The sequence below is a fragment of the Homo sapiens genome, chromosome 3 (genome assembly GCF_000001405.40).
Source record: "Homo sapiens chromosome 3, GRCh38.p14 Primary Assembly".
Classification (NCBI taxonomy): Eukaryota; Metazoa; Chordata; class Mammalia; order Primates; family Hominidae; genus Homo; species Homo sapiens.
In genome coordinates this window covers 150,762,225-150,771,201 of record NC_000003.12, presented here as the reverse complement: position 1 = coordinate 150,771,201, position 8,977 = coordinate 150,762,225, and the positions used below count along the sequence as shown (strand labels likewise).

The 8,977-nt window shown below is 47.8% G+C and overlaps 1 protein-coding gene and 2 long non-coding RNA genes across 4 annotated transcripts in view, besides 4 other annotated features; 2 read left to right on the top strand and 1 right to left on the bottom strand.

The window, feature by feature from the left end:
* Positions 1-570: 570 nt before the first annotated feature.
* LOC124909447 (uncharacterized) lies at positions 571-3,686 on the top strand. Its single transcript, XR_007096132.1, has 2 exons — positions 571-638; positions 3,562-3,686. It is a non-coding gene; the product is annotated as an uncharacterized LOC124909447 (long non-coding RNA).
* Positions 2,527-8,977, bottom strand: part of SIAH2-AS1 (SIAH2 and CLRN1 antisense RNA 1) — a 6,739-nt gene continuing 288 nt past the window's right edge. Inside the window, exons 2-3 of one of the 2 annotated variants that reach the window (NR_187305.1) lie at positions 8,795-8,865; positions 2,527-2,657 (exon numbers count right to left, since the gene is read on the bottom strand). This is a non-coding gene — a long non-coding RNA (SIAH2 and CLRN1 antisense RNA 1). The remainder of the gene's footprint in view (positions 2,658-8,794; positions 8,866-8,977) is intronic. The other variant, NR_187306.1, reaches the window with a different exon arrangement.
* Positions 7,038-7,097: an enhancer, noted in NCBI's record as "active region_20699". NCBI's record gives its function as "activates an Ori minimal core promoter by ATAC-STARR-seq in GM12878 lymphoblastoid cells {active_cell/tissue: GM12878}" and the evidence as "EXISTENCE:reporter gene assay evidence [ECO:0000049][PMID:35858748]".
* Positions 7,608-8,507: a silencer, noted in NCBI's record as "silent region_14818". NCBI's record gives its function as "represses an Ori minimal core promoter by ATAC-STARR-seq in GM12878 lymphoblastoid cells {active_cell/tissue: GM12878}" and the evidence as "EXISTENCE:reporter gene assay evidence [ECO:0000049][PMID:35858748]".
* Positions 7,608-8,562: a biological region, named in NCBI's record as "H3K27ac-H3K4me1 hESC enhancer GRCh37_chr3:150480427-150481373".
* Positions 7,616-8,562: an enhancer, noted in NCBI's record as "H3K27ac-H3K4me1 hESC enhancer chr3:150480427-150481373 (GRCh37/hg19 assembly coordinates)". NCBI's record gives its function as "activates a minimal SCP1, AML or CMV promoter by ChIP-STARR-seq in naive H9 embryonic stem cells {active_cell/tissue: H9 hESC(naive)}" and the evidence as "EXISTENCE:reporter gene assay evidence [ECO:0000049][PMID:30033119]".
* Positions 8,033-8,977, top strand: part of SIAH2 (siah E3 ubiquitin protein ligase 2) — a 22,045-nt gene continuing 21,100 nt past the window's right edge. Inside the window, exon 1 of the mRNA NM_005067.7 lies at positions 8,033-8,769. Coding sequence (NP_005058.3) covers positions 8,353-8,769 — 417 coding nt within the window. The 5' untranslated portion in view covers positions 8,033-8,352. The remainder of the gene's footprint in view (positions 8,770-8,977) is intronic.

Below are 8,977 nucleotides of genomic sequence, written 5' to 3'. Positions count from 1 at the left end.
GTGCAGGACGCACAGAATTTGGCTAAGCTGGAGGGAGGGAGACATAAGGACACCTCCTGGAGTCGAAGCAAGACAAACAGGGCAGTAACGGGGCCACAACCAAGTCGGAGAAGACAGAAGGGGAAGGAGCAGCTTTTCTACTTTTTCTTGGAATTTCTGTAGCATAGACAGCTGGAGGAACCAATTTTAAAAATCACCTGCTTTCCATTATGGAGTCAGATTCTCCCTTTTATTACCATCTCTTTTCTTGGACTCAATGACAGTCTGTTATTGGATTTTTAATCTGACAAAACTGATGTCAAAGGAAAGGAATGTATTATTTGAGGCCTCAAGGTTATGTCAATTTTGCTGGTTCTCAGTGATCCACACTGTCTGTTGGGTTAGGCTGGCGTGGACGAGGCTCTTTGGGGGAATCTCAGATCAGACTTAGGGATGTGGGGATGGAGAATAAGGAGATTATTCCGGACTCTCTCCCCTCTGCCTTTCTTCACTTCTCACTAAGGGATAGAGATCTAAGAACAAACAGTCCTAGGAGAAATGCTGTATATGCAACTCTGCCTCAACAGCGGGTTCAGAAAGGAGGCCAGCAGGGATCCAAGGATGGTTCCTAGAGGAGAGAGGACAGAAGACTCCCCAAGGTAGGAAAGTTTCAGGAGCTCTGTACCTTCGGGTATACGCTGCCCTCTCTCTGGACTGCAGTCTTTACCCTCTTCTTTGGTTGTCACATTCCTACTCTTGCTTTTTCTTGATGTCTTCCTCACACTTGCCCAGGAAGTGCTGAACTTCACCCTCCTCTCCTTTCCCATCTCCATAATACACGTATCACACTGTATTAGATTTTCCATATGATGTCTGGCAGGACAGCCAAATGGTTAAGAGCACAGTCACTGGAGTTAAAACAGCCTGGATCCAAATCATGTTTCTGTCACTTATCAGCATGTGACCTAGGACAAGGGATTAAACCTCCTCTTGGAGGTTTGTTCATCGCTTAAAGGGGATTAATAGACTACATGCCTTAGAGCGTTCTAATAAGGATTAAATGCCATGTGCTTAAAAGAGTGTCTGGGGGCCGGGCACAGTGGCTCACGCCTGTAATCCCAGCACTTTGGGAGGCCGAGGTGGGTGGATCACCTGATGTTAGGAGTTTGAGACCAGCCTGATCAACATGGAGAAACCCTGTCTCTACTAAAGATAAAAAATTAGCAGCGCATGGTGGCTCATGCCTGTAATCCCAGCTACTCAGGAGGCTGAGGCAGGAGAATCGCTTGAACTCGAGAGGTGGAGGTTGTGGTGAGCCTAGATCACACCATTGCACTCCAGCCTGGGCAACAAGAGTGAAACTCCATCTCAAAAAAAAAAAAAAAAAGAAAAGAAAAAAAAAAGAGTGTCTGATATCCAGTGAGCATTGTGTAAGGGTTTTATAATTAATGTTATTCCCCTACCAGGCTACTATCTCTCCAAAAATCAAGCCTGGGCTTGATATTATCCATGGCCTCCAAATATGACACTATTGACTGAATAAATCTTTGCACTTAGCCAGCTGACCAGTGGCCACAACCTGGCTCATAACCTTCATCTCTACTCGACCCAGGAAGCCCCTCTTGGAGCACTAGATCCTCCAACCTATTTCCTTCTTTCTGGGATCTCCAAGTTATACTCACATACTGCCTTTGGGTTACTCTTCTTAAATTTAATATTTAATATTAATTTAAATTTAATATTAATTTCAGCAAGTCACCTCTCAGACCCAAAGACCTGACTGAAGCTCCTAGTTCCTTTCTCAGCAGTATAATGCCCACCTTTTCTGGCTGGCTAGTCTTTATCACCCATTTTGGCACCAACCCTGCAGCTAAATAAATCCTTCACTAAAATAACCCCCAGAAAGGCAAGGACAACACACTTTTTAAAAAATAACACACGAAACACATGAATAAATTCTCATTGTACAAACAAAAAAGAACAAGAGAAGAAAAAAGAAATAAACTCCAGAAATATAGGAAGTATGTATGTTTTCCATACTGCATATCCATTCACATTCCCCCTCCCTGGAGGCAGCTGCTGCCGTCAGTTCACTGTCTTCTTCCAGACCTTTCTATGCCCTTGTAAACATATAGTCATTTTGCCTTGCACGGTATTTTCTACAGAAATGGAATCATTTTGGGTTTTTTGGCTTCAGTGTTTTTTGTTTGTTTGTTTGTTTTTTGAGACGGACTCTCGCTCTGTCGCCCAGGCTGGAGTGCTGTGGCACAATCTAGGCTCACTGCAACTTCTGCCTCCTGGCTTCAAGTGATTCTCCTTGCCTCAGCCTCCCAAGTAGCTGGGACTACAAGTGCCCACCACTAGGCCCAGCTGATTTTTGTAATTTTAGTAGAGACAGGGTTTCACCATGTTGGCCAGGTTGGTCTCAAACTCCTGACCTCAAGCGATCTGCCCGCTTCAGCCTCGCTAAGTGCTGGGATTTCAGGCGTGAGCCACTGTGCCCAGCCACAGTGTGCTTTTTTCATGTAACAAATTGTCTTGGAGAACTTTTCTAAATTGCAGAGGGTTTTATAGGATGGCTTTCCATAGTTCTTTTTCTTATTGATGGACACTGAGGTTGTTTCCAAACTAAATGATGATTTCATTTTCGCACATCTTCTATCACATCAAATTATCATCTGAAAAATATGGATTTACATAAAAATAAGAAATAAGAACATTAATTCTGGTTTTGTTGGTGTTCAATTTTTTTGTTTCTATAGCTGTAAATAACAAAAATAATATTCCTATATTTGTTTCCTTATATTTAAATAGCATTATAATAAAAAATCATTTTACATATAAGCCTTGTGACCTGGGACAGGTGTATTAGTTATATATTGCTGAGTAACAAATGATCCCAAAACTTCATGGCTTAAAACAACAAACACTGAAGCCAGGTGCAGTGGCACACACCTGTAGTCCCAGCAACTTGGGAGGCGGAGGCAGGAGGATTGCTTCAGCCTGGGAGTTCCAGGCTGTAATGCACTATGATTGTGTCTGAGAATGGCCACCGCACTCCAGCCTGGGCAACATAGTAAGACCCTATCTCTAAAAATAAAGATAAAAATAAAAACAGCACATATTCATTATCTCACAGTTTCTGTGTTCAACTCAGCTGAGTCCTCTAGTTCAAGGTGTCACAGGCACAATCACTTGTGAGCCAGGGTTGCAATCATCACAAGGCTCGGCTGAGAGAATCCACTTCCAAACTCACTCACTGTTGGCAAGCCCAGGGTTCTCACTAGCTGTTGGCCAGAGACATCAGTTCCTTGCCACGTGGACCGTTTAGCAGAGCTACTCCCAACATGGTAGCTGGCTTCATCCACAGAGAGGGCTCAGAGAGTGTTACAGACTGAATACTTGTGTCCCCTCAAAATTCACATATTGAAACTGTACTCCCTAATGTGATGATATTAGCAGGCAGGGTCTTTGGGAGGTAATCAGGATTACAGGAGGTGCTAAGGGTGTAGCCCTCATGGAGAGGGTTGGTATCCTTAGAAGAGTCCTGAGGGAGCTTCCTTCCTATCTCTGCTACGTAAGGACACAGTGAGAAGGCTGCCATCTACAAACCAGGAAGCAAGCCATCGCTAGACACCTGTGGCACCTTGACCTTGGTCTCCCCGTCCTCCACAACTGTGAGAAATAAATGTTTGTTATTTAAACCACCCAGTTTATGATATTTTATTATAGCAGCTCGAGCTAAGACAGCAAGCGAGAGGAACGGAGGGACAGTAAGACAGAATTCATAGTCTTTTTTAACCTAATCTCAGAAGTGACATTCTATCACTTTGACCATATTCTGTTCACTTAAAGCAGGATCAGCCCTCATTCACAGGAAAGGTGTTACATATTGGGCGACACCAGGAGGAGGGATCCCTGGGAGCCTTCTTAATGATGACTTCCTACAACTCTCTTGGCCTCTCTGTACCTGTTTTGTCATCTATAAAGATCTACCCTATAAAAGACATTGTGAGAATTAAGAGAATTAAAATATGTAAAGTACTTGGAACACTCCCTGGTACAGGGTGAGCACTAATTAGCTAAGTGTGGATACAAAAATAATGCAAATACATAGAACTGCTCTTAGTACACAGTGCTAAGTCCATGATGGTTGTTCAAAAAAATGCTTGAATTAGGAGTACTTGAGTATAGGAGTTTGAGGCCAGCCTCGGCAACACAGTGAGACCTCTTCTCTACAAAAACTAAAAAACTAGCAGGGCGTGATGGCACGTGCCTGTAGTCCCAGCTACTCAGGAGGATCCTTTGAGCCTGGGAGGTTGAGGCTGCAGTCAGCCATGATCCAGCCACTGCATTAAGCCTAGGTGACAGAGTGAGACCCTGTCTCAAAAAAAAAAAAAAAGATTTGAATTAAGAGACCTACAATTATTCAAAAGAAGTTTGAGCATTTGGAAATTACCCCAGAAACAGATGAAGTTAAAAGTTCCTACTATAATTACCAGGGGGCCTTACATCACCTCCAGATTTCCCACAAGCTTCCCCTGATGAGGAATTTCCATGCAGCAAGCTCCAATGCATACCTGAGTCATCTCTAAAAAGCCAACCACAATTTGCTCTGCAAATGCACATTTGCCTGATGGCAGAAGTTGCCTGATTTGCAAAACCACACAATTTGTAAGTTACAGAAAAAAGGGCAAGAGCTTGTCTGCCTAGCTGGAGCATTTCTCACTGTGCTCAGCAGTTTAGTGAAATTAGGAACTCACCTGTGAGGTGTTTTTTTTAAGACTCACCCTGCTATTTTAAGGAAAGAAAAGGCTACTCAGTACACCCCTAGTCTTTCAAGCTTAGCATAGAGCAGATGGGTTAAGGAGAGGTGTCCTGCTTGACATATGCAATCTGGGACTCAGTAGGTGGGCGAATGAGACCAACCTCTCATACAGTAGATGTGGTAAATGAGTCATGAATCAGGAGATAACAAAAGGCTGGACCCTGCTCCCCCAGACCACAAAGTCACTCACTAAACAGGCCAAGAAGCAGCAGCGACACTCCAAAGGGTAAATAAACCTCCCAACAACTCAACTCAGCACACATTTTGAGTACACGCTAAATTCGACCTCTGAGCGGACTGCCCGCTGGAAGAGGAGGCTCTAGCTCATAGTGCCCGGTATGCAAAGGTCACCTTTCTTTGTTTCAAAAGTCACCAAGGAAGGAGGAAGAAGAAAGGCGACTGGGAAGACCAGCCTGGTCATTGATGTGGCTCACATAGCAGACCTATCCACTCTCCCCCTGCCTACCTTCAGCAACTGCCCAGAGTTTTTTTGTTTTGCTTTTGTATTTTAATTACCCTGGTTGACTTAATCAGGTGTGCAATGATGTGAAGGAGGAAGAAAGAAGAAATTTCTCTATACCAGGGGAGGCATCTGCCAGGGTAAGAGTGGATGGGTTCGCTGTATTTTTAGAAAAATAAACCAAATTCTCTCTGCAGAGAATTGCTTTTCCTGTTATTTCTTTCAACACCTCCCAAACCAAATTGTTTTCTGAATGACCAGGGCCTATCTAGCTGGAACACTTAAAGCTCGTGTCAATGGGGCAAGGGTGAGGACTCCAGTCTCCTAATGAGAGCTAGTAAGAAGCCGTGGGGATGGAGGTCATCACACAGAGAGGCTAGAAGTGGAAGGAAAGAAAATGTGTTCCATTAATAAATTCCAAATGCTTTGATTTTAAATTAAGAATGAAAAATATTACATTTCCTCCAATAACAGTAAAACAGTAGGTGATTTTTGTGTTATCACTTATATTTTGTGTCATAAAAAGGTGAAAATGAAATAAATAGAACATGATTTAATTTTTCTCTCTAGACCAGCTAAGGAAAGAGTTTATGTAAAGTTTGCCCACAAAATTTAGTGCTTTATTATAGGCTGAACAACTGTTTTCTGACTCTGTTGAGTGTGCTAATCTTAACTGTTTAACAAGACTGTAAGTAGGAATCAGGCATAATTTAGAGGCATACAGACTAGTAGTTAAGAAGGGCTCCTAGCGTGTTCCCACATTCTCAGCTGTGTGATCTTGAGCAAAGTAACCTATGTCTCGGTTTCCTCAACTGTAAAATGGAGATAACAGTAGTATTCATCACAGAGAGTTATGATAAATACTTAAAACTATCCATGCCCAACATACAGTGGGCACTCAATTAACATTAGTTATTATTTTATGCTCCCTACCTATCCAAAAACTCAGGTTCAGCCATGTTACTAAAGAGCTTCCAAAAACCTACAAAACCTAGTGTTGTTGTGTGTTCTTAAAAAAACAAACAAAACCCTACAGTGGTTTACCCCTATCATTGAGGTAAATGTCTTATTAAGCCAGTTGAGGCTCCCCTTGTGCTAACGCCACACCCCTACACTCCCGTTATATCCCCTCCAAGTCCCAATGCAATCCCAGAATACATGCTTTCACTCTGTGCTTTTTAGCTCCTGCTATAATGCCTGCCCACCCCGTGGTATCTGAAATCCTTCTTCTCCCACGAGTGCTTGGTTATTGGGCCTTGCTCTCTTACTAGAATGTAAACTGCATGAGAACCATTCTCAGAGCTCCAACAGTAGCTGACACATGATAAATGCTCAGGAAACATTTACTGAACGATTGAATACACCTATTAAGTTTTTTCAAGATTTATACCAAATTCCATCAATTCCATGCATGTATTCTTTCTACAGAAGCCCTTTGTAAGATTAAACTTTATTTCTTCTGGGCTCTTACGCCATATTTCTTGGACAAATTGTATTCATTCATTTTAAACATCCACTAATATTTTTAAAAGATAAGAGCTAATGTTTAAACAGTGCTTATGATGGGCGAGGTTGTTTTAAAAGCTTGAAATATATTAAACTCATTTACTCCTCACTGCCCCACCTATAAGATAGGTATTTTTTTTTCCACTTTTACAGTTGGAGGGAACCATTTTTCACTCAGTCCTAACAGTTGGTCCTTACCTCTGTGTCTCCTATAAATTTCCGATTTCTACCTAAGGTAACCCTTTCCCCAATTCCGGAATCGTTGGCTCAAGCAAAGTCTGCAGAAAAACAATTTTAACTCGGAGCACACAGTTACATTTGGACATGCGGTTCACCCCGGGCAACCGTGCCCTCTAGCGCTTCTGCTGGGCGCGCAGGGTGGCCCTACGCCTCGCAACAAAGACTCGGACTTCGGCCGGCTCTCTACCAAGCGGACGCAGCGCCTTACACTGGAGTTTCACCCACTGTCTTCAGAGACCTCACGACCCAACCTACGTTTCTGACATTTCTAGATGATCTCGAACTCTTAGCCAACGCTGCCCATGAGCTCCCTCCTCGGCCTGCTATACGAGCCAGGGGCGCTCAATTCAACGAAGCTTCCTCCTGGTCCGCTGGGAAAGGAATAAAGGGAGCTTACATCCTCCCCACCGCCCCCCTCTTTACTCAACCCCACCGTTAACTGTACAAAACTAGGTCCTGTGCCCGCTGCAGACCCAACTCGAGCCCCTCGCCCTGCTCCCACCCAATGCTTCTCGTCCTGACTCCGAACACAGAACGCGGGTGGCCGCTTCGCCCTCTTCTCCTGCGTGCTGGTGACTCAGCCCTGAGAAGAGAAACCTCTCGGTTTTTTCCGACTAGTGCAGGGGCGCCCGCGCCCCGCCCCTGCCCGCCCGCGTCCGGTCCCACCCACCGTCCACGCTCCCGCCCCGCCTGAAGTTGCCTTTCTCGTTTGAGCTGAGGGACGCGTCAGCCAGGCACCCCGGGGTGTGGCCAGAGGACTTCGGCGACGCTTCCCCGAGAGTAGCCCCCCTCCTCAACCCAGAAAAGACAACCCCGCGGGGCTGCAGCGAGCCAGGCATGCTCACTGGCGCAGGCCCGGCCCGCAGCCCGAGCAGGAAGCGCCGGCGCTAGGCGGCCCCCTGCGCTGCCAGCTGGAGCCGGGCGGAGCCAGCGCCCCGGCGCAGGGTGGCTCTGCCAGTCCCCGCGCGCCTGGGCGGCCGCACACGTGTCCAGGCGTCACGTCCGCGCGCGCCCCCGGGGCTTGCGTCAGCGGCTGTTCCAGAAGCGGGTGGGCCAGGGCTCTGCGCACCGCTGGGGTTCGGGGCCCGGGACGCCGCCGGGAGGAGGGCACCGCGCGGGGTCCGACGCGGAGGCGTGCTCGGAACGCCGGGGGCTGCGGAGTGCATCAGCGCGGTCCAGCCCTCCGCCTGCCGGGCGCCGAGCGTCTCCGCCGCCCGGACCTGGGCTGGGCGCCGTGGCGTTGCCTCGGAGCTCGCTGCCCGCGGGGCGCGCACCGCCTTGACCCGGGCGGCCCCGCGGCAGGCAGGCGCCCGCAGTTCCATGGTTGGTTCGGAGCGCGATGAGCCGCCCGTCCTCCACCGGCCCCAGCGCTAATAAACCCTGCAGCAAGCAGCCGCCGCCGCAGCCCCAGCACACTCCGTCCCCGGCTGCGCCCCCGGCCGCCGCCACCATCTCGGCTGCGGGCCCCGGCTCGTCCGCGGTGCCCGCCGCGGCGGCGGTGATCTCGGGCCCCGGCGGCGGCGGCGGGGCCGGCCCGGTGTCCCCGCAGCACCACGAGCTGACCTCGCTCTTCGAGTGTCCGGTCTGCTTTGACTATGTCCTGCCTCCTATTCTGCAGTGCCAGGCCGGGCACCTGGTGTGTAACCAATGCCGCCAGAAGTTGAGCTGCTGCCCGACGTGCAGGGGCGCCCTGACGCCCAGCATCAGGAACCTGGCTATGGAGAAGGTGGCCTCGGCAGTCCTGTTTCCCTGTAAGGTAAGCCCAGGGACAGCCCACGTACCTCCGCCGGTGACCTCAGGGACTCCGGTATCCGCCAGCCCACTCGCAGGCCCGGAGAGGCGGGCGGCATCTCTCATTTAAAAAAAAAAAAGAAAAAATGTTTACACTTCGTCCACCCTCCCTCAAGCCCACTTTGGGTGTAGGTCTGGGTTGACATTTACCGAGTAATAATTGTTAATAGACA